We start from the raw sequence: 23,831 nt of genomic DNA on the forward strand, positions 1-23,831 counted from the left end.
TCATAGCTCCTGGTGCAGTGCTTTTTACTGTGTAGGCGCTCATTAGTATTAAACTGAATGTGCCTTTAACTTGGCTTGGGGTACGTTGAATTGAGGATGAGCGCTCACACAATATTAAGAATTTCTTTCCAAGAAATGTGCTCGGGTCAAACACAAGGCCTTTCTGTCCATGATCCGCCTGAAACCATGGTTTCCTTGTTTTCGCCTTTATCCCTTCTGCCTTGCCAGTCCTCCCCGCCAGCGGGGCCGAGAGCCCGGCGACTCTTGCGTGACCGAGCGGGCTCCGCTGCCTACGGCAGCCCACCCCCAGCCCCTGCTCTGAGGCACCGAGAAACGAGGAGGCCCGTGGCGAGTCTCCACGTGGGTACCGGCGCTCTCGGCGCCCGTAGCCACCCGCCCGCCGGAAGCCGACATCTCGAGTTCTGGCAGAAGCAATTTGCGCGGCGAGGAGCGGAGCGGCAGGAACCCAATAAGCTGCTTCGCCTCGGAGCTGAAGCCCGTACTCAAGATGGCGGCTCCGGGCGGGCGTGGCCAGTGACTAGAAGGCGAGGCGCCGCGGGACCATGGCGGCGGCGGCGGACGAGCGGAGTCCAGAGGACGGAGAAGACGAGGAAGAGGAGGTAGTAAGCGCTACGCCAAAAGCCTGCACCGCAGTGGCGGTGATGCCTGTGCTGGCTGTGTGTGGGGAAGGGAGTTGGGGAGCTGCGGGCCGGAGGGAGGCCCCACTGCTCCTCACCGGCTTCTTGCTCCTGGGCGCGAGGAGCCGGGCAGCTTGGGACCTTAGCCCTAATCGTCACCCCGTACTTGGGATGGGAAGTACCGGGAAGTTACCTTAGGTAGCGTAGTTTCCTCTTGCTGAAAACAGGGTCCGGTTTTCACAAATGTGGGAAATTTGGCTTCTTTTGCTAATTGCTCCCTCTTGGCCGCTCGCGTGCTAGCATGTTAACCCCTCTTTCTTTCACCAGGAGCAGTTGGTTCTGGTGGAATTATCAGGAATTATTGATTCAGACTTCCTCTCAAAATGTGAAAATAAATGCAAGGTTTTGGTGAGTTTTCTAGACTTGGGGGGATTGTTCTAGAGTGTCTTAAATGTAAAACAAGAATCAATGGTGAAATACCTATCCGCAAGTATTGATATATTTATTTCACCTTACAAAGTAGTGAACTCTAAGGATAAGAAGTATACTAAGTATAATTAATTAATATGTAATTAAGTATAATGTAGAAGTACAGCGGGGACTATGGGAGCAGATAGGAGAAAATGGCTAACTTTGCTTGCCTGTTTGAATGTGTGGCTGAAGAGAAAGTTACAGATTTGGAGGAAGTAACATTGTGATATGGAACCGTACATATATTCCTGTATTCTCAGCACTTTGGGAGGCAGAGGTGGGAGGATCACTTGAGCCCAGGAATTGGAGACCATCCTAGGCAACATAACGAGACCCCTTCTCTAAAATAATAATAAAAAAAAATGGCCAGGCGCGGTGGCTCACGCCTGTAATCCCAATACTGGGAGGCCGAGGCGGGTAGATCACGAGCCCAGGAGTTCGAGACCAGCCTGGCCAACATGGTGTAACCCCGTCTCTACTGAAATACAAAAATTAGCCAGGCATGGTGGTGGGCGCCTGTAATCCCAGCTACTCGGGAGGCCGAGACAGGAGAATCGCGTGATCCCTGGAGGCAGAGGTTGCAGTGAGCCGAGATCGCGCCACTGTACTCCAGCCTGGGCAACAAAGGGCAAAACTCCATCTCAATAAAAAAAAAAAATAATAATAATAATAAATTAGCTGGGGATGGTGGCATGCGCCTGTGGTCCCTGCTGCTCAGGAGGCTGAGGTGGGAGGATTGCCTGAACATGATCATGCCACTGCATTCCAGCCTGGGTGACAGAGCTAGACACTGTCTCAAAAAATAAATAGATGACAGATAGACTCTTTGCACTACTGTTGACAAAACTTCCTCTGTTTTTAGCTTACTCTTGAACAGGATGTTGATTGAAATAAACCTTGTTACTTGAGTATGAATTAAGTAGTCTTCAGGTTGTAACTGCTGTGATCAGAGCAGTTGTAGTTTATCCTGTACTTGGTAGGACAAGATGCTCTAGAGGTTCCCCAGTTTTGGAGATTAGTTTCCTTGGTAGCAAGGTTACAATGTTGAAGCCTTTTTCTAATTATGTTTTTTTTTTATGATCCTTTATTCTGTTGTAGGGCATTGACACTGAGAGGCCCATTCTGCAAGTGGACAGCTGTGTCTTTGCTGGGGAGTATGAAGGTAGGAGGATGTCAGATAGATGGAACTCTTTCTGATATGGGCTTTTCAGAGATGGTAGCTCTTCTCAACAATTTGCCTTTGTATTTTTCTGCAGACACTCTAGGGACCTGTGTTATATTTGAAGAAAATGTTGAACATGGTAAGTGATTGCTAGCCCAGCCCTTTTTAATACGAACTATTTCAATCATACTTAAGCATAATAAATATCTCATGTATCCACTGTCTAGCTGTATCATATCCTATCATTTTCCCAAACGTGACTCAGATTATAGTTAAAAAAAAAAAATGCCAGGCTGGGCCAGGTGGCTCAATCCTGTAATCCCAGCACTTTGGGAGGCCAAGGCAGGCAGGTTACTTGAGGCCAGGAGTTCGAGACCAGCCTGGCCAACATGGCAAAACCTCATTTATACTAAAAATACAAAAATTAGCTGGGTATGGTGGCATGTGCCTCCCAGCTACTCGGGAGACTGAGGCACGAGAATTGCTTGAACCTGGGAGGTGGAGGTTGCAGTGAGCCGAGATCGCACCAGTGCACTTCAGCCTGGGCAACAGAGCTAGATAAACTGTGTCTCAAAAACAAACAAAAGAACCCATTCCAGATACATTTGAAGTCCTTCTATCCCCCTTTCCAAACTTACTTCTTTCCCTCTGTCTTCAGAGATGATCACTCTCCTGAATTCTTTTTTTTTTTGAGACAGAGTCTCACTCTGTCACCCAGGCTGGAGTGCAGTGGTGCAATCTTGGCTCACTGCAACCTCCACCTCCCAGGTTCAAGCAGTTCTCCTGCCTCAGCCTCCCGAGTAGCTGGGATTACAGGCGCCTGCCACCACGCCTAGGTAATTTTTCTATTTTTGGTAGAGACAGGGTTTCGCCATGTTGGCCAGGCTGATCTCAAACTCCTGACCTCAAGTGATCTGCCTGCCTCGGCCTCTCAAAGTGCTGGGATTACAGGTGTGAGCCACCACTCCTGGCCAAGGAATAAAAGAAGGGCTACTTCATAGGCAGAGCAGCCTACTTTCTAAAGTATGGTATCAATTTATACTCACAGTAGCAATGTATGGAAGTGTCTGTGCTTCATATCCTTGGCTCAAGGGCCTTATCCTCCGTCCTGCCTAGGCATACAGTTTTCTGAAAGTTTCAACTCCAGGCAGCAGGTTGGCAGCAATTTTTTTCCTCAGGCTTTCATGATTGAGAATGTCCCTACTCCATACTTTGGCTTCAGGTAGTAAGTCTGACTTTGGTCCTTAATTTGATTGGTAGAATTTTAGATCCCAATACGCTGTAGGGTAAAATTCCTGGCCCCAATTTCCATTTCAAGGATGAAGCCTGTTAGACCTATGGGTTTAATCTCACTCATAACTCTGTGTTTCTGTCCCTTGAAGATGTTTGTTACTTTTGAATCCAGTTGTGCTTTCAACTGTTAACGTATTTTTTTTTTTTTCTTGAGACAGTTTTGCTTTTGTTGCCCAGGCTGGAGTGCAGTGGCACAATCTCTGCTCACTGCAACCTCCGCCTCCTGGGTTCAAGCATTTCTCCTGTCTCAGCCTCCCGAGTAGCTGGGATTACAGGCGTGTGCCACCATGCCCAGCGAATTTTTTGTATCTTTAGTAGAGACGGGATTTCATCATGTTGGCCAGGCTGGTCTCAAACTCCCGACCTCAGGTGAACCACTCGCCTCGGCCTCCCAAAGTGCAGGGATTACAGGTGTGAGCCACCGTGCCCAGCCTGTTAATGTATTTTATCTATCATTTTTCTATGCTTGGAGCAGGAGGGATGAGTTATACCTTGAATTTACTACACTATCTTGACAGGAAGTAGTTTAATCTGACTCCCTACACTGGAATTACTAAGGCTTCATCTTTGTTTTATTTGATGGCATAAGAAGTATAATAATGTTGTTCATTTCTGTTCCAGCTGATACAGAAGGCAATAATAAAACAGTGCTAAAATATAAATGCCATACAATGAAGAAGCTCAGCATGACAAGAACTCTCCTGACAGAGAAGAAGGAAGGAGAAGAAAACATAGGTTAGTTCCATTATTCTCTGAAAACAGGTGATCCAGTACTGGCTTTGACAATGATACATTGATGCCAGGATAGTCCTTGTACTTTTTAGTAATAACTATACATGATTTTTGTTTTTTCAGACAGTCTTGCTCTGTCACCCAGGCTGGAATGCACTGGCACAATCTCGGCTCACTGCCACCTCCGCCTCCTGGGCTCAAGCAATTCTCTTTCCCCAGGCTCCTGAGCAACAGGGATTACAGGCACCCACCACCACGCCCAGCCAATTTTCTTTTTTTTTCTTTTTTCTTATCCAGACGAAGTCTCGCACTGTCGCCCGGGCCGGAGTGCAGTGTCGCGATCTCGGCTCACTGCAACCTCCGCCTCCCGGGTTCAAGCGATTCTGCTGCCTCAGCCTCCGGAGTAGCTGGGACTACAGGCACGCACCACCAGGGCCAGCTAATTTTTGTATTTTTAGTATAGACGGGGTTTTACAGTGTTGGCCAGGATGCTCTCAATCTCTTGACGTCATGATCCGCCCGCCTTGGCTTCCCAAAGTGCTGGGATTACAGGCGTGAGCCACCGGTGCCTGGCCACGCCCGGCTAATTTTTTTTAGTAGAGACCGGATTTTACCGTGTTGGCCAGGCTGGTCTTAAACTCCTGACCTCAAGTGATCCACCTACCTTGGCCTACAAAGTGCTGCAATTACAGGTGTGAGCCACTGTGCCTGGCCTCATAATATGTTTAATATATTAAAATTGAGGGTACTCCATCTAAAGTACCAAGCAGAGTTAAAATTCAGTTGAACTCTCATATAGCTTAGGGCACTGGGGACATAGAAATCTTTTATCTGCTTGGCACTGGAAATGACTGAGGAGTTTTTGAAGAAACTTGGTATCTAAGCCCTAGGGAATTCAGTAGTGCTTCTCTGTCTCTCTCTTCTCCTTCTCCCTCTCCCCTCTTTAATTAAAAACTTCCTTGTATCTTTTTGTAGTTCATAAGCATGATGATTATGTTTTTACATTCATGTGTAAGATGTGCCTCCCTCAAACCTTGTTATGATGTCAGCATATTACCTGTCTGATGTGTGGGGGGAAAAAACTTCCTTGTGAGCAAAGTGGATATGATCACAATAGTTCTGAATTCCCAAGGTGAAATCCCCTGGAAACTTCTGGCAGCTGCAGCAGCCTTCAACAGGCTCACATCTGGAAAAAGCTGGCTTTTTTTTTTTTTTTTTGGAGACAGTCTCGCTCTGTCACTCAGGCTGGAGTACAGTGGAGCCATCTTGGCTCACTGCAATCTCCACCTCTTGGGTGCAAGCGATTCTCCTGCCTCAGCCTCCCGAGTAGCTGGGATTACAGGCATGCACCACTAGGCCTGGATGATTTTTGTATTTTTATTAGAGACAGGGCTTCGCCATGTTGGCCAGGCTGGTCTTGAACTCCTGACCTCAGATGATCAACCTGCCTCGGCCTCCCAAAGTGCTGGGATTACAGGTGTGAGCCACCGCCCCTGGCCAAAAGCTGGCTTTAAATGTGGGGGAGACTGTAGGACCACAGTTGTTAGTCCTCAGTCTAGTTTTTGTTATTATTATTAAATTATTTTATTTGAGACAGGGTCTCACCCTGTCACCCAGGCTGGAATGCAGTGGTGTGATGTTGGCTCACTGTGACCTCTGCCCCCCATCCCCCTACCTCAGCCTCCCCAGTAGTTGGGACCACAGGCGTGTTCCACCATGCCTGGCTATTTCTTTTTTTTGTTTTTGTTTTCTTTTTTTTTGAGATGGAGTTTCACTCCGTCGCCCAGGCTGGAGTGCAGTGGCGCGATCTCTGCTTACTGCAACCTCCACCTCCCAGGTTCAAGCGATTCTCCTGCCTCACCCTCCTGAGTAGCTGAGACTACAGGCGCATGCCACCATGCCCAGCTAATTTTTGTATTTTTAGTAGAGACAGGGTTTCACCATGTTGGTCAGGCTGGTCTGGAACTGACTTCATGATCTGCTTGCCTCAGCCTCCCAAAGTGCTGGGATTACAGGCATGAGATGCTGCACCCAGCCTTTGTATTTTTAGTAGAGACGGAGTCTCACCCTGTTGCCTGGGCTTGCCTAGAACTCCTGAAGAGACCACTGTGCCCAGCCTTTCTTTTCCTTTTGACGTTTTTCTTTTTTTCTTTCCTGGAGACAGAGTCTTACTCCATCCCCCAGGCTGGAGTGCAGTGGCGTGATCTCAGCTCACTGCAACCTCTGCCTCCCAGGTTCAAGTGATTCTCATTCCTCAGCCTCCTGAGTAGCTGGGATTACAGGTGCCCACCACCACGCCCGGCTAATTTTTAGTAGAGACGGAGTTTTTTTTCTTTTTTTTTTTTTTGGAGACGAATTTCGCTCTTGTTGCCCAGGCTGGAGTACAGTAGTGCGATCTCGGCTCACTGCAACCTCCGCCTCCTGGGTTGAAGTAATTCTCCTGCCTCAGCCTCCTGAGTAGCTGGGATTACAGGCACGCACCAGCACGCCCAGCTAATTTTGTATTTTTAGTAGAGAGATGGGGTTTCTCCATGTTGGTCAGGCTGGTCTCGAACTCCCGACCTCAAGTGATCCGCCCACCTCAGCCTCCCAAAGTTTTGGGATTACAGGTGTGCACCACCGCACCCAACCTTTTTTTTTTTTTTTTTTTTTTAAATAGAGACAGGATCTTACTATGTTACCCAGCTGGTCTCAAACTCCTGGGCTCAAGTGATCCTCCTGCCTCAGCCTCCCAAAGTGTTGGGATTACAGTGATGAGTTCTTAATTTGCATCCACTTATTCTTCTTCACTTGCTAGTCACCACATACTAGAGACTTTTAGACTAGTGCTTCTTTCACCTGAAGCAGACACGTTTGTGGAGTTGAAAAAATAATAATTTGATGGTTTAAAAGTTCACTGCTCAACAACATATTTGAAACTCTAGTAAATAAGATTCTCATGATGAGTATAGCTTAACAAGGAATAAACATTTGAAGGTACATTGATCTTATAAAATTAATTGTATCATCTATATACAACTATATAATAAACCCTTGTTCCTATTATGTATATCCCTGAACTATCCCCTTTTTTAGGCACCTTGTAATAATTATAAGAAGAAAGAGGTACTAGGTTCTAGAATAAACTTGAAAGGCTGACTTGTATCATAAGCTTAGCTATCATTGGGATATTCTTATTAGAGTGAGTTTCCTCTTCCTAGTCTTTAATAATCTGACAGATCTTTGGGAATATTTGGGTGTTTTGTTTAGTCAAGTAAATGAGCAACCAACAATTCGAGTCTGCATTGGTTACCTACTGCTGCATAACAAATTATCCCTAAACTTGACAGCTTAAAACAACAACAAAAAACCAGTATCTTACAGTTTCCGTGAATCAGGAATTTGGGAGCAGTTTAGGTAGGTGGTTCTGGCTCCAGGTCTCTGATAAGGTTGCAGTCAAAATGTTATCTAGGCTGCAGTCATCTGAAGGCTTGACTAATGCTGGAAGTAAAATGGCTTATTCATATGGCTTGTAAATTTGTTTTGGTTGTTGGCAGGAGGCCTCAGTTCCTTGACATGTTGTCCTCCTCACAAGACTGTTTGAATGTCCTCCTGATATGGCAGCTGGCTTCTCTCAGATAAAGTATTCCAAGAAAACAAGGTAGAAGCCACAGTGTCTTTTATGAACTAGCCTTAGAAGTCACAGTCTTGGCTAGGCGTGGTGGCTCACACCTGTAATCCCAGCACTTTGGGAGGCCAAGGCAGGTGGATCACTTGAGGTCAGGAGTTCAAGACCAGCCTGGCCAATATGGTGAGACCCCCCATTTCCACTAAAGATACAAAAAATTAGCCAGGTATGGTGGCATGCACCTGTAATCCCAGCTACTCGGGAGGCTGAGGTGGGAGAATTGCTTGAACCCAGGAGGCGGAGGTTGCAGTGAGCCGAGATCATGCTACTGCACTCCAGCCTGGGTGACAAAGTGAGACTCCATCTCAAAGAAAAAAAAAGTCACAGTCTTGTCATTTCCACAATATCCTATTCAGTATGGGACAGGACTACACAGGGGCATGAATACCAGGAAGGTGAAGATCATTGGGGACCATCTTGCAGTCTGGCTACCAAACACGGCTACATGCTGGAGGCAAAACAGGACAGAGGAAGTGTGACCGTTACCTTCTAGGAACTTGCATTCTAAAGTAAATTACATTGAAACAGACATGGATGAATAAGAGTGAACATCAAATTCATTCTATTTTAAGTACTGTGCTAAATAACAGAATAAAGGAAAGCTTCAAGATTTTGAGTCTGGCTGACTAGGAGAACGATGTTATTGCGGGAAAAAAATATGAATATCTATAGTTGAAGCTGAATTGGAAGAAAAAGGACTAATAACCAGGCGCAGTGGGTCATGCCTGTGATCCCAGCACTTTGGGAGGTGAGGCGGGTGGATGGCTTGAAGTCAGGAGTTCGAGACCAGCCTGGCCAACATAGTGAAATTCCGTCTCTATTGAAATACAAAAATTAGCCAGGCATGGTGGCACACACCTGTAATCCCAGCTACTCGGGGGGCTGAGGCACAAGAATCGCTTGAACCAGGGAGGCGGAGGTTGCACTGAGCCAAGATCGTACCCACTGCACTCCAGCCTGGGTGACAGAGCGAGACTTTGTCTTAAAAAAAAAAACATTGTAGGGAAGTGATAAGTTTCCTTGAAGGCATGAGATGGCAGAGAGTGCTCAAATTATTTCTTAGAATGAGCTGAGAACTGAACTCTGGAAAAAGGCATGGAATAGTAATCAAAGTTGGTAACGTAGTGATTTTGATGGTACCTACCTAATAGGCATTCCAAGGTCTCCAGAGAAGATGCAAATTATATTTTATCAGTAGTTACAGACACCATATTCCTTGGTTTATGTTAGGCTTTCAGTTTGACATGTATTCATAGGATAGAAATTTAAATTAAAGAAAAATATACTAAAATTCATTTTTTGTTTCTTTTTTTGTTTATTCCTCATCCCCTCCAAATTAGGTGGGGTGGAATGGCTGCAAATAAAGGATAATGATTTCTCCTATCGACCCAACATGATTTGTAACTTTCTACATGAAAATGAAGACGAAGAAGTGGTAGCTTCAGCCCCAGATAAATCTTTGGAATTGGAAGAGGAAGAGATTCAAATGAACGACAGTTCAAACCTGAGTTGTGAACAGGAGAAACCAATGCACTTGGAAATAGAAGATTCTGGTCCTCTTATTGATATACCTTCTGAGACAGAAGGTTCTGTTTTTATGGAAACTCAAATGCTGCCTTAGAAATCACTCCTAGATGAAATGTTTCTCATAATAACTTGTCAAGAACTTTTTAGAGTTGTTACATAAAAATAATTGCTGTGTAGCTTTCAGTCTTTTAATATTTTATTGCATTTTATTGGCTATACACACATATCCAGTCATAACACAACTTATTGTACCAGAATCATTTGGGACCAGACATGAGTTGGATTTTTAAAATACAGTTTAGGCTGGGTGCAGTGGCTCACACCTGTAATCTCAGCACTTTGGGAAGCTGAGGTGGGAGGATCACTTGAGCAGCCTAGGAGTTTGAGACCAGTCTGCGTAACATAGGGAGGCCCTGTCTCTACAAAAAGTTTTTTAGAATTAGCTGGACATAGTGTCGTGTGCCTATGGTACCAGCTACTGGGCAGCTGACGTGGGAGGATGGCCTGGGACTGGGAACTCGAGGGTGCAGTGAGCTGTGTTTGCACCTCTGTACTCTCGCCTGGGTGACACAGTGAGACCGTCTCAAAAAATAAGTAAAATGAGGCCGGGCGCGGTGGCTTACGCCTGTAATACCAGCACTTTGGGAGGCTGAGGTGGGTGGATCATGAAGTCAGGAGATCAAGACTATCCTGGCTAACACGGTGAAAACCCGTCTCTACTAAAAATACACAAAATTAGCCAGGCGTGGTGGGGGCGCCCGTAGTCCCAGCTACTTGGGAGGCTGAGGCAGGAGAATGGCGTGAACCCGGCAGGCGGAGCTTGCAGTGAGCTGCGCCACTGCAATCCAGCCTGGGCGACAGAGCAAGACTCTGTCTCAAAAAAAAAAAAAGTAAAATGAAATATTTTTAAATGACTTTAGGGACCCTTCTGAGTCCTTTAAATTCAAGGTTGTATTAAGGTAAGTATATAAAGTTTTCCTTTGAGGCTGTTACAAATTACTACAAACTCAGTGACTTAACACAAATGTACTCTCTTATAGTTTTGTAGGTGAGAAGTGTGACGCGGGTCTTACCTGGGCTAAATTCAAGGTGCTGGCAGGAATGCATTCCTTTATGGAGGTTTTGGGGTAGGGGGCAAATCCATTTCCTTGTTTATTTAGTTGTTGGCAGAATTCAGTTCTTTGCAGTTAAAGGATCAAAGTCTCCTTTCCTTGTTGTCTGTTAGCTGAGGGTCATTTCTAGCTTCTGAAGGCTGCCTTCATTCCTTGGCTCATGATCCCCTTTTCTTCAGAGCCTGCAATAGTGGGTGAAGTCCCTCTCCCATTTTGAATCATTCCTGTTACTTCTATCATCCCTCTCTCTGACCTACCCTTCTGTCTTCCATTTCCACTGTTAAATGTCTATTTGATTACTCTGGGCCCACTTGGATAATCTCCCTTTTTTTTTTTGAGACAGTCTCACGCTGTTGCCCAGGCTGGAGTGCAGTGGCAAGATCTCTGCTCACTGCAAGCTCCGCCTCCCGAGTTCACGCCATTCTCCTGCCTCAGCCTCCCGAGTGGCTGGGACTACAGGTGACCACCACCATGCCTGGCTAATTTTTTTTTTATTTTTAGTAGAGACGGGGTTTCACCGTGTTAGCCAGGATGGTCTCGACCTCCTGACCTCATGATCCACCCGCTTCTGCCTCTCAAAGTGCTGGGATTACAGGCGTGAGCCACCGCGCCTGGCCTGATAATCTGCCTATTTTAAGGTTGATAACTTTTTTTTTTTTTTTTTGAGACAGAGTCTCGCTCTGTTGCCCAGGCTGGAGTGCAGTGGCTCAATCTTGGCTCACTGCAAGCTCTGCCTCCCGGGTTCACGCCATTCTCCTGCCTCAGCCTCCTGGGTAGCTGGGACTACAGGCGCCTGCCACCACGCCCGGCTAATTTTTTATATTTTTAGTAGAGACAGGGTTTCACTGTGTTAGCCAGGATGGCCTCGATCTCCTGACCTCATGATCCACCCGCCTCAGCCTTCCAAAGTGCTGGGATTACAACCGTGAGCCACTGTGCCCGGCCAACTTTTTTTTTTTTCTTTTGAGACAAGGTCTCGCTCTGTCACCCAGGCTGGAGTGCAGTGGTGTGACCACAGCTTACTGCAGCCTTGAACTCCCAGGCTCAAGCAATCCTCCCACCTCAGCCTCCTGAGTAGGTGAGACTACAGGCACGCACCAACATGCCTGGCTGTGTTTTTTTTAATTTTTTTTGAAGAGATGGGGTCTCATTATGTTGCCCAGGCTGGTCTTGTACTCCTGGGCTCTAGTGATCCTCCTGTCTTAGCCTCTGGATGTGCTGGGATTACAGGCATGAACCACTGCACCCAGCCAAAGGTGTATAACATTAATTCTGGCCAGGTGCAGTGGCTCACACCTGTAATCCCACCACTTTGGGAGGCCGAGGTGGGCAGATCACAAGGTCAGGAGATTGAGACCAGCCTGGCCAACATGGTGAAACCCCATCTCTACTAAAAATACAAAAATTAGCCAGGTGTGGTGGTGCACACCTGTAATCCCAGCTACTCAGGAGGCTGAGGCAGGAGAATTGCTTGAACCTGGGAGGCGGAGGTTGCAGTGAGCTGAGATTGCACCACTGCACTCCAGCCTGGGTGACAGAGTGAGACTCCGTCTCAAAAAAAACCCCAAAAAACCAAAAAACATTAATTCCATCTGCAAAGTCTCTTTTGCTAGGTCATTTAACATACACAGGCATTAATACTAGGGATTAGGGCATGGAAATCTTTGGGGCCTATTTTTAGTCTACAACAAAGTATTTTATCAAGAAAAATAATTCCCACTTGAGAAAGATTATTGGAAGTCAGCTGTATTAGTCATTTTATTATGGCAGTAAAATAAATCTGTGCTAGTTTATATTTTTTAAGTAAATTATTCACTCTTTGATACTTTGATACTTTGTTGAGCTGTGTAAAATTGCTAATATTTGATTGTTTCCAACTACAAAACAACAGCAATTTCCTATAGTTTAACCTAGTACCAGTAAGTTAAAACATACCTCATGTTAATTACATCTCACAATTGATGGAGATATAGCTATTTTAACAGATTAAAGAGCTAATGTTCTAGGATGAAGAATTTTTTTTTTTTTTAAATCAAGTTCTGGCTCTATCACCCAGGCTGTAGTGCAGTGGCACAATCTGGGCTCACTGCAACCTCCACCTCGTGGGCTTAAGCCATCCTCCCACCTCAGCCTCCCTAGTAGCTGGACTACAGGGGTGTGTGACCACACCCAGCTTATTTTTGTATTTTTTGTAGAGATAGGGTTTTGCCATGTTGCCCAGGCTGGTCTCAAACTAGTGAGCTCAAGTGATCCTCCTGCCTTGACAAAGTACTATAATTACAGGTGTGAGCCATCATGCCTGGCCCAAAGAATTTTTTCTTCAAAAAGTTTTGTATTTAATTGGAAAATACCTTAATAAAAAGCATTTTCAAATCATAAGCAGATGATTATAAGCATAATCTTTCCAATGTCTGTATGACTTTTTAATTTTTTTACTTTTGAGATAGTCTGTCACTCTTGTTGCCCAGGCTGGAGTGCAGTGGCACGATCTTGGCTCACCACAACCTCGGAGGTTCAAGCGATTCTCATGCCTCAGCCTCCCAAGTAGCTGGGATTACAGGCACATCCCTCCATGCCCAGCTAATAATTTATGTGACTTTTTTTTTAGTCTCAGCTTTTAGTGAACAGCTTATTGTTCCCCCTATATGTATGTATAGGAGAGAATGCTAATTGCCTGACCCAATTATCTATTCTCCCTTTTTGGCTTTGTATCAGAATCCCAGAATGTATTCAGGTTAGCAACGTGCCTAGCTTTCCTTGCAGATATATGTGGTCATATGACTAAGTTCCGGCATTGACATGGAATAAGAAGTGCTGAGTGATGGAAAAAAAAAAACAAAAACAAAAAACCAAGAAAAAAACAAGTGCTGACTGGTGCTTCTGGGAAGTTTCCTTTAACTTAAAGGCTTAAGAGGAAGCAGCAGGGCTCATCTGTTCCTGCTGGAACATGGATGTGGTAGCTAGAGCTCCATCCAGCAGCATTCTTGGACTTCAAAGTAACTTTGGAAATAGAAGTCATGAATGGCAGAGCAGCAATATAGAAGACTGGGTCCTGATACTGTGAGATTACCCAGTACTGCTATGAGTAAAGGGTTAATAAAATCCTTTCTCTCTCCCTGGTGAAATGACCTCGAATTTGGCTTTCAGCACTGTTTCTCTGGAAACCTACTAGGCAAGGTAATAATGGAATGTCAGCTGTAATATTAGGCAATATTGTTTATGATTAAAAATGAGCCCTTAGCTGGGCACGGTGGCTCACACTTGTAATCCCAGCACTTTGGGAGGCCAAGATGGGTGGATCACTTGAATCCAGGAGTTCGAGACCAGCCTGAGTGGCATGGCAAAACCCTCTCTAAAAAAACACACAAAAAAGTAGCTGGGCATGGTGGTGCATGCCTGTAGTCCTAGTTACTTAGAAGGCTGAGGCAAGAGGATTGCTTGAGCCTAGGAGGTGGAGGTTGCAGTGACCCGAGATCACACCATGCCACTGTACTACAGGGCAGGACTGTGTCTCAAAAAAAAAAAAAAAAAAAAAAAAAAAAAAAAAGACACCTTATTGGTAAACTATCTGGACCAGGAAGACTAACACGTACTACAAATGCCCATTCAAAACATGGGCTTTGGGATTCCTTAAGTGTGGTGTTCCTTATTGCAAATATTTCTGGAAGCAATACTCATGTACTGTTTCAACAGGAATTGGTTTTTCTGGAGCATAAAGCTTCTAAGCCAGGTGGCTTCTGCACCCACCGAAAATGATCTTGTTTCTTTACCCCTCAGCTGACACTTGGGAGGCTGGAGTAAAGACTCCTGCAGAAATAAGTCTCATGCTGCTGTGTTGCTGTGCTGTTCCTTGTTCTGTATCCTGGAATACTAAGTGAGCTGGGTGCCAGATTGGGTTCCACAAGGCTTGTTGGGGTCCTGTGATTGTGAATGTCTTTCCAAACCTGTAGCTATTGCTGCTGTTTAGGCAGAGAAGGCAGAGGCTTTGCCACTTTCTACCTAAGAGAGAAATAAGCTACTCTCTTCGTTAGGTCACTCTCTGTAATAGCCAAACATAATACTAATTGATACATATGTATTTTATTTATTTATTTTTATTTTTTGAGATGGAGTCTTCTCTCTGTCGCCCAGGCTGAAGTGCAATGGCGCAATCTCGGCTCAGTGCAACCTCTGCCTCCTGGATTCAAGCAATTCTCCTGCCTCAGCCTCCCGTGTAGCTGGCATTACAGGCGTGCACAATCATGCCCGGCTAATTTTTTGTATTTTTAGTAGAGACGGGGTTTCACCATGTTGGCCAGGCTGGTCTCCAACTCCTGACCTCAAGTGATCCACCCGCCTTGGCCTTCCAAAGTGCTGGGATTACAAGCGTAAGCCACCACACCCGGCCTGATACATATGTATTTTAGAAAACATGAAAAATATTAAAAAGTAGGCCAGGCGTGGTGGCTTATGCCTGTAATCCCAGACTTTGGGAGGCCAAAGCAGGAGGACTGCCTAAACTAGGAGTTCAAGACCAGCCTGGGCAAGATAGCAAGACCTCATCTCTATTAAAAGTATAAAGAAGTGGAATATTCTTGAGATTTGTAATCTTGCAAAAGAAACTCATCTACACGATAGTGTAGTTCTACCTTAAATTGAAGAGGAAAATAAAATCTTAAATTCTGACGAAAACATACATGTTAAGCTCCTTACCTATTTATAAGTGTTTCAAATTTAGTAAAATAAAGTCTTATTTTTTAACTATGTAATATTTTGTGAGACTAGAATTTCATTTATGAATTTCTTTGCCATTTAATTGCCTTAGTAACTCACTAGGATTACTTAAAAGCTAATGTTAGAACCAGAGTCCCTGTATAGCTATCACACTAAGTACTACTTTTAAAAAAAAATTAAGTAATATTATTTTTAAAAAATAGAGAAGGGGTTTGGCCAGTTGCCCAGCCTGGTCTTGAGCTCCCGGGCTCAAGCCATCTGCCTGCCTCAGCCTCCCACTAAGTACTACTTTTGACACTGAATGCAGTGGATTGCTTTTGTTGACAAATAATACTTTTCAATTTAAAAGGATCATATCGTTGCCTGGGCGCAGTGGCTCACGTCTGTAATCCCAGCACTTTGGGAGGCCGAAGTCAAGGTAGGCAGATTGCTTGAGCCCAGGAGTTCGAGACCAGCCTGGACAACATGGAGAAACCCCATCTCTACAAAAAACATAAAAATTGGCCGGGCGCGGTGGCTCACGCCTGTAATCCCAGCACTTTGGGAGGCTGAGGCGGGTGGATCACGAGGTCAGGAGATCGAGACCATCCCGGCTATAACGGTGAAACCCCGTCTCTACTAAAAAAATACAAAAAATTAGCCGGGCGTAGTGGCGGGCGCCTGTAGTCCCAGCTACTTGGGAGGCTGAGGCAGGAGAATGGCGTGAACCCGGGAGGCGGAGCTTGCAGTGAGCCGAGATCGCGCCCCTGCACTCCAGCCTGGGTGACAGAGCAAGACTCCGTCTCAAAAAAGAAAAAAACATAAAAATTAGCTGGGCGTGGTGTTGCACACCTGCAGTTGCAGCTACTCAGGAGGCTGAGGTAGGAGGATCACCTGAGCCCAGGGAGGTCAAGGCTGCAATGAGCTGTGATCATGCCCCTACATTCCAGCCTGGGCAATAGAGCAAAACCTGTCTCAAAAAAAAAAAAAAAAAAAAAAAAAAAGCCGGGCGCAGTGTCTCACGCCTGTAATCCCAGCATTTTGGGAGGCCGAGGCAGGCAGATCACAAGGTCAGGAGATCGAGACCATCCTGGGTAACACGGTGAAACCCCGTGTAAAAAATACAAAAAAATTAGCCGGGCGTCATGGCAGGTGCCTGTAGTCCCAGCTACTCCGGAGGCTGAGGCAGTAGAATGGCGTGAGCCCGGGAGGCAGAGCTTGCAGTGAACCGAGATTGCGCCACTGCGCTCCAGCCTGGGCGACAGAGTGAGACTCCGTCTCCAAAAAAAAAAAAAAAAAAAAAAGATTGTATTGTTAAGGTGCATCATGGAGAATTATTCCTTAAGCCCATTATAAAAAATGTTTGCAGCTGGGCACGGTGGCTCACGCCTGTAATCCCAGCACTTTGGGAGGTCAAGGCAGGTGGATCATGAGGTCAGGAGATCGAGACCATCCTGGCTAACACAGTGAAACCCTGTCTCTACTAAAAATACAAAAAAATTAGCCGGGCGTGGTGGCATGCGCCTGTAGTCCCAGCTACTCAGGAGGCTGGGGCAGGAGAATCACTTGAACCCAGGAGGCGGAGGTTGCAGTGAGCCAAGATCACGCCACTGCACTCCAACCTGGGCAACAGAGCGAGACTCCATCTCAAAAAAAAATGTTTGCAACTCCACTCATTTATTCATTATGTACTGCACAGCTGATCATAAATTTATGGATAGACAGCCAGCTCAGTGAAACTACTGACGATATATACTTTTCTATTTGTATAGCAGCAGTTTTTAATTTTTTAGAATCTCTTATTTCCTCTTGTTCCAATAGCTTATGTGAAAATATTCAACTTTCCTAATATGTCTAAGGTTTACATGGAATTATCTTCCAGAAATGTTTGTATTGATTTTGGAGATGAATTTGCTATATTTTATGACTTTGACCATTATTTCCCTGTGGAATGAGAAAATGCTGTTTATAAAATTGCCCATAAGTACATTTTACTTTATTAATACAGTACAAAGTAAATATACACCTTTGTTAATGTCAATTTGTAGCTGGTAGTTACTGATAGTTGGTATATGGGTTCAAGGCAGCCATACACATGCATCTTTTTTTTTTTTTTTTTGAAACAGAGTCTCACACTGTCACCAAGGTTGGAGTGCAGTGGCACAATCTCTGCTCACTGCAACCTCTGCCTCCCAGGCTCAAGTGATCCTCCTACCACAGCCTCCCAAGTAGCTGGGACCACAGGCACATGCCATGACGCCCAGCTAATTTTTTGTATTTTTTGGTGGAGATGGGGTTGCACCATGTTGCTCAGGCTGGTTTTGAACTCCTGAGCTTAGGAGATCCACCTCCCTCAGCCTTCCAAAGTGCTGGGATTACAGGTGTGATCCACGGAGCCCGGCCATACTTGTGTATCATTAATAAGAAGGTGAAAATAGTAGAGGTTCTAGTTTTCTCAGATGCAAAATAAGATCTCTTTTACTATCATGTATGAAAAATTTTATTTTGTACTCTTATTTCATGCTCCCATTTGGGAACTGTATTATTTTCCACTATTGCTGTAACAAATCACCACAAACTAGTGGCTTAAAACAACATCAATTTATTATCTTACAGTTCAGGAGGTCAAATTCTTAGTTCAAGGCTGGGCGTGGTGGCTAACGCCTGTAATCCCAGCACTTTGGGAGGCCAAGGTCAGGAGTTTTGAGACAGGCCTGGCCAACATGGTGAAACCCTGTTCTCTACTAAAAATACAAAAAAAATTAGCTGGGCATGGTGGTCTATGCCTGTAATCCTAGCTACTCAGGAGGCTGAGGCAGGAGGATTGCTTGAACCCAGGAGGCAGAGGTTGCAGTGAGCTGAGATCATGCCACTGCACACTCCAGCCTAAGCAACAGAGTGAGACTCCATCTCAAAAAAAAAAAAAAGACAAAAAACAATTGTAAGTTCCAGTGTTATGGGGCTAAAATCAAGATCTCTTTCCTTGCTTTTTCCAGGTTATAGAGGCTGCCTGAATTCCTTGGTTTGTAGCTCCTTCCTCCATATTCAAAGCCAGCTGCATTACATCTTCTCTCTCTCACTCTGACCTCTGCTTCCATTATCACATTTCCTTCTCTGACTCTTAAACTTCTGCCTCCCTCTTATAAAGTCCATTGTCATTAGATTGGTGCTCATCTGGAAAATCCAAGATAATCTCCCTATTTAAAGATTCTTAGCTGGTCCTGCCGCAGCCTCCTGGGTGGCTGGGATTACAGGCTCCTGCCAGCATGCCTGGCTGATTGATTTTTGTGTTTTTGGTGGAGGCTGGGTTTCACCATGTTGACCAGACTGGTCTTGGACTCCTGACCTCAGGAGATCTGCCTGCCTCAGCCTCCCAAAGTGCTAAGGACCATGTACTTTCTTATAGGGGGTGCTGCTCTAGTATTTGTTTGTATTAGCTTCTTTCAAAAGAATTTGTCAAGAATAACTTGACCTATATTTAGATTTATAAAATGTAACAATATTTTCTATACTTTTACTCAACTGTATCATACATTTTTTTAAATGGTGATTAGTAACTTTGTACTGTTAAATACTCATTTGGAATTTTTTCATGAGAGGCCAGTTCAAATTACATGTATATATCAAAACAACTACAATTTAAGGATAAATGAAATACAATTGTATTAACTTACAACAATTACTGAACATGTCAGTACAACATGTTACTGAAAAGTTATTAAGGGGAGAATGATAGGGACCATGCTATTCACAAATTATTTTCACGAAAATAAATACTTGAATTAATCAATTTAAGTGTGTGACACTTCTGAATATTTTGTTCATGTCATTCATTTGCTATGCAAATTCTTCACTGTGCAGTGTACTCCTATTTGTATTCTGATAATAATGAGTGGGTTAATAAAGTTTTACTGAAAAAAAAAATTCTTAGCCAGGTGCGGTGGCTCACGCCTGTTATCCCAGCACTTTGGGAGGCCGAGGCAGGTGGATCACAAGGTCAGGAGTTCAAGACCAGCCTGGCCAATATGATGAAACCCTGTCTCTACTAAAAATACAAAAATTAGCCAGGTGTTGTGGTGGGCGCCTGTAGTCTCAGCTACTAGGGAGGCTGAGGCAGGAGAATCGCTTGAATCTGGGAGGCGGAGGTTGCAGTGAGCTGAGATAGCACCACTGCACTCCAGCCTGGGTGACAGAGTGAGACTCCATCTCAAAAAAAAAAAAAAAATCCTTAATAACCGCTGCAAAATCTCACTAACATCACCACCAGTCCTGCCACTTAACAGCAGACATCACAAACTTTTCCAAAAAACTAAAGAGGAGGGAATACATCCCATCTGAATCTATTAGGCCAGTATTGATCCAATACCAAAGCCAAACAAAGATTCCACTAGAAAACTACAGGCCAATATGATGAATATAGACACAAAAATCCTCAGCAAACTATCAACAAACTGAACCCAGTAACATATAAAAAGGATCATACACCATGACCAAATAGGATTGATTCCAAGAATATAAGGTTGGTTGGACATATGAAAATCAGTGTAATACAAAATGTTAATAGAATAAAGGAAAAAACAACATGATCATCTCAATAGATGCAGAAAAAGCACACACAAAATCCAACACACTTGCATGATAAAAAGCATTCAACAAACTAGGAAAAGAAGTCAGGCCGAGTGCTGTGGCTCACTTCTATAATCTGAACACTGGGAGGCTGAGGCAAGGGGATTGCTTGAGCCTAGCCGTTTGAGATTAGCCTGGGCAACATGAGACCCCATCCCTATAAAAAATTTAAAAATTAGTGAGACGTGGTGGTGCATGCCTGTGATTTCAGCTACTCGGGAGGCTGAGGTGAGAGCACTGTTTGAGCCCAGGTCAAGGCTGCAGTGAGCTGTGTTCACACCACTGCACTCCAGTCTGGGCAACAAAAGGAGACTGTATCTCAAAAAAAAAAATCAATTGATAAAATAACATAAAAAAAAAGAAAAGAAAAATCCAAGCTGCCTTTGTTGCAGAAATTGAGAAATTGACCCTAAAATTCATATGGAAATTCAATCTTGCAAAAGAGAAAAATCATAAAAGTCACATTTCTTAGTTTCAAAACTTACTACAATGCTATATGGTAATCAAAGCTGTGGATCTAGCATAATGAAAACCAGACAGATCAATTAAATAGAATTGTGGGTCCAGAAATAAACCCTTACAATTATGGTCGATTGATATTGCAAAAGGATGCTAAGACAATTCAATGGAGAAAGAATAATCTTTTCAACAAATGATGCTGGGACAACTGGATATCCATATACAAAAGAATAAAGTTGAACCCCTATCTCACACCATATATCAAAATAAAAATGGACCAAAGGCTTAAATATAAGAGCTGCAATTAAAAATGTTTGAAAGAAGACATAGGGTAAATCTTTGTGATGTTGGAATAGGGAATGGCTTCTTAGATATGATACCAAAAGCACAGGCAACAAAAGGAAAAAATATGTAAACTGGGCTTCAACAAAGTTCAAAAGATCTGTGCTGAAAAGCACATTAACAACAAGATAACGCCTACTAAATGGGATAAATATTTGCAAATTATGTATCAGGTAAGGGACTTATATCTGGAATACATGAGAAAATATTAGAACTCAACAATAAAAGGACAACCCAATTTAAAAACCGGGCAAAGGATTTGGATAGGCATTTTTCCAAAGAAGATATAAAAATGGGTAATCAATCAGCACATGAAAACATGCTCACCATCATTTGCCTTGCCATCAAGGAAATGAAAATCACAATGAGATACCACTCATATCTGTTAGGATGGCTTAATAAAACAGATGGACAATGCTAAGTTTTGGTGAGGAGTGGAGAAATTGGAACCTTTGGTAGATAGAACAATGCTTCCTTCAACTCCCAGCCCAAAGATGTTGAGAACCCCCAGGTATCTGTGAATATGTTACTTTATATGCCCAGAAGGAATTTGCTATACGATTAAGGATCTTGAGATTATCATGGATTATCCAGGTGATGCCCATGTAATCACAAGGGTTTTATTAAGAGGGAGTTAGGAGTGTCAGAGCATCAGAGAAAAAGATGTGACAATGGAAGAAGTTCAACTGATGATCTTTGAAGATGGAGAAATGCCAAAGTATGCAGACAGTCTACAGAAGCTGGAAAAAGCCAAGAAACCGATTCTCCCCTGAAGCCTCCAGGTGGAATGTAGTCCTACTGACTTCTTCATTTTATTTATTTATTTATTTAATTTATTTATTTATTTACTTAAGAGACGGAGTCTTACTCTGTTGCCCAGGCTGGAGTGCAGTGGTGCGATCTCAGCTTACCGCAACCTCCACCTCCCAGGTTCCAGTGATTCTCTTGCCCCAGCTTCCCAAGTAGCTGGGACTAGAGGCGTGCCACCACGCCTGGCTGATTTTTTGTATTTTTAGTAGAGATCGGGTTTCATGGTGTTAGCCAGGATGGTCTTGATCTCCTGACCTCATGATCCGCCCACCTCAGCCTTCCAAAGTGCTGGGTACAGGTGTGAGCCACTGCTTCCGGCCTACATTTTAGACCTGCAAAACTGATTTCAGACTTCTGACTTCCTGAAGTATAAAATAATAAATGTGTGATAATTTGTTACAACAGAAATAGGAAACTAATACCAAACTCTCTTACATTGCTCATGGGAATTTAAGTGGTGCAGGTGCTTTGGAAAACAGTTTACCAGTGCCTCAAAATGTTACACTTAAGAGTCAGCATATGACCCAGCAATTTTTCTCCTAGAGAATTGAAAATGTATGTCCACACAAAAATTTGTACACTAATATTCAAAGCAGCTGGGTGTGGTGGCACGCGCTTGTGGTCCCAGCTACTCGAGAGGCTGAAGCACTAGAATCACTTGAACCCAGGAGATGGAGGTTGCAGTAACCTGAGATTGCATCACTGCACTCCAGCCTGTGTGACAGAGTGAGACTCTGTCTCAGAAACAAAACAAAGCAAAGCAAAACAAAACAAAAAAACACAAAGCAGCATAATCCATAATAGCCAAAAAATAGGAACCATTCAAATGTACATAAGCTGCCGGGTACAGTAGCTCACGCCTGTATTCCTAGCACTTTGAGAGGCCAAGGCGGGTGGATTACCTGAGCTCAGAAGTTCAAGACCAGCCTGGCCAACATGGTGAAACCCTGTCTCTACTAAAAAATACAAAAGTTAGCAAGGTGTGGTGGTGCGTGCATGTAATCCCAGCTACTTGGGAGGCTGAGGCAGAACTGCTTGAACCCGGGAGGTGGACGGCGCAGTAAGCCAAGATCGCACCACTGCACTTCAGCCCTGGCGACAGAGCAAGACTATGTCTAAAATAAAAAAAGTACCTAGGTTGATAAATGGATAAACAAAATGTGGTATATCCATACAAAGGAATATTATTCAGTCCTAACAAAATGGAAGTACTGATCCACGCTACATGTATGAACCTCAAAAAGATAGTGAAAGAAGTCAAACACAAAAGGCCATACGTTGCACGAAACCATTTATATATGTTCAGAATAGGCAAATCCATTGAACATAAAGTAGATTATTGGTTGCCAAGGGCTGGCAGGAGGGGGAAGTGGGGCATGGACTGCTACTGGGTGTGTGTGTCAGGGGGGTTCTTTTTGAGGTGATTAAATATTCTGGAATTAGTGGTGATATTTGCACATCTTTGTGAATACACCAAAAATCACTGAATTGTACACTGTAAAGGGGTACATTTTATGGTATGTGAAGTATATGGTAACTTAAAAACTGGGGAAAAATCACGAACAGCAGTACATTTTCTGCGCATCTTTTATGTACTAGGCAACTGTGGTAGTCATAAATTCTGTCACACAGATCGCATAGTTGTCAATAGTGCCCCTTTCACATCAATGTTTTTAGTGCTTATGTGAGTACCTACCGTGCAATCAATCAACCTTTCTAGCATCCTGGGATTCCTTGAAGAATAAAATCTGGTTTCTGAATACCTGACTCCAGGTATGCACACTAGCGCGTACATCAAACTGCGAGGGTCTATGTTATTTTATTTTATTTTTATTTTATTTTTGAGACGAAGTCTCGCTCTGTCACCCAGGCTGGAGTGCAGTGGCGCGATCTCCGCTCACTGCAACCTCCGCCTCCCGGGTTCAAGCAGTTCTCCCTGCCTCAGCCTCCCGAGTAGCTGGGGTTAGAGGCGCCCGCCACCACGCCCGGCTAATTTTTGTATTTTTAGTAGAGACGGGGTTTCGCCATGTTGGCCAGGCTGGTCTCGAACTCCTGTTATCAGGTAATCCGCCCGCCTGGGCCTCCCAAAATCCTGGGATTACAGGCGTGAGCCACCACGCCCGGCCAGTGTTACTTAAAAGTATTACCTCGCACCTGTAACTCCAGGAAAGAGCCGGGGCAAAAATCCGTAACCAAGACAACAGGGCGCGATTCCAATCAAGATGGCCGCCAGCGCCTCTAGACGCCCTCTACGAGGCCGTCCCCGGAAGTGGCGTTACGCGCAGCTTCCGGTTCCGCCT

The 23,831-nt window shown here is 44.3% G+C and overlaps 1 protein-coding gene and 1 non-coding gene across 2 annotated transcripts, besides 1 other annotated feature; both read left to right on the forward strand.

Annotated features, from left to right (window-relative positions):
• Positions 373 to 822: an enhancer, noted in NCBI's record as "active region_24940". NCBI's record gives its function as "activates an Ori minimal core promoter by ATAC-STARR-seq in GM12878 lymphoblastoid cells {active_cell/tissue: GM12878}" and the evidence as "EXISTENCE:reporter gene assay evidence [ECO:0000049][PMID:35858748]".
• On the forward strand, positions 500 to 9,666 carry GTF3C6 (general transcription factor IIIC subunit 6). Its single transcript, NM_138408.4, has 6 exons — positions 500 to 620; positions 966 to 1,046; positions 2,208 to 2,271; positions 2,366 to 2,410; positions 4,186 to 4,299; positions 9,304 to 9,666. Exons 1-6 carry the CDS (start codon positions 564 to 566, stop codon positions 9,582 to 9,584), a joined length of 642 nt encoding a protein of 213 aa, NP_612417.1. The 5' UTR covers positions 500 to 563; the 3' UTR covers positions 9,585 to 9,666.
• Positions 5,260 to 5,363, forward strand: LOC124901533 (small nucleolar RNA U13). Its single transcript, XR_007059964.1, has one exon. It is a non-coding gene; the product is annotated as a small nucleolar RNA U13 (small nucleolar RNA).
• Positions 9,667 to 23,831: the final 14,165 nt, after the last annotated feature.

Source organism: Homo sapiens, chromosome 6 (genome assembly GCF_000001405.40).
Source record: "Homo sapiens chromosome 6, GRCh38.p14 Primary Assembly".
Classification (NCBI taxonomy): Eukaryota; Metazoa; Chordata; class Mammalia; order Primates; family Hominidae; genus Homo; species Homo sapiens.

Coding starts and splice junctions, on each gene's coding strand:
- GTF3C6 (NM_138408.4), top strand. CDS start 564: ATGGCGGCGGCGGCGGACGAGCGGAGTCCAGAGGACGGAGAAGACGAG. Junction 621..965: donor GAGAAGACGAGGAAGAGGAG/GTAGTAAGCGCT, acceptor TTCTTTCACCAG/GAGCAGTTGGTTCTGGTGGA. Junction 1,047..2,207: donor AAAATAAATGCAAGGTTTTG/GTGAGTTTTCTA, acceptor ATTCTGTTGTAG/GGCATTGACACTGAGAGGCC.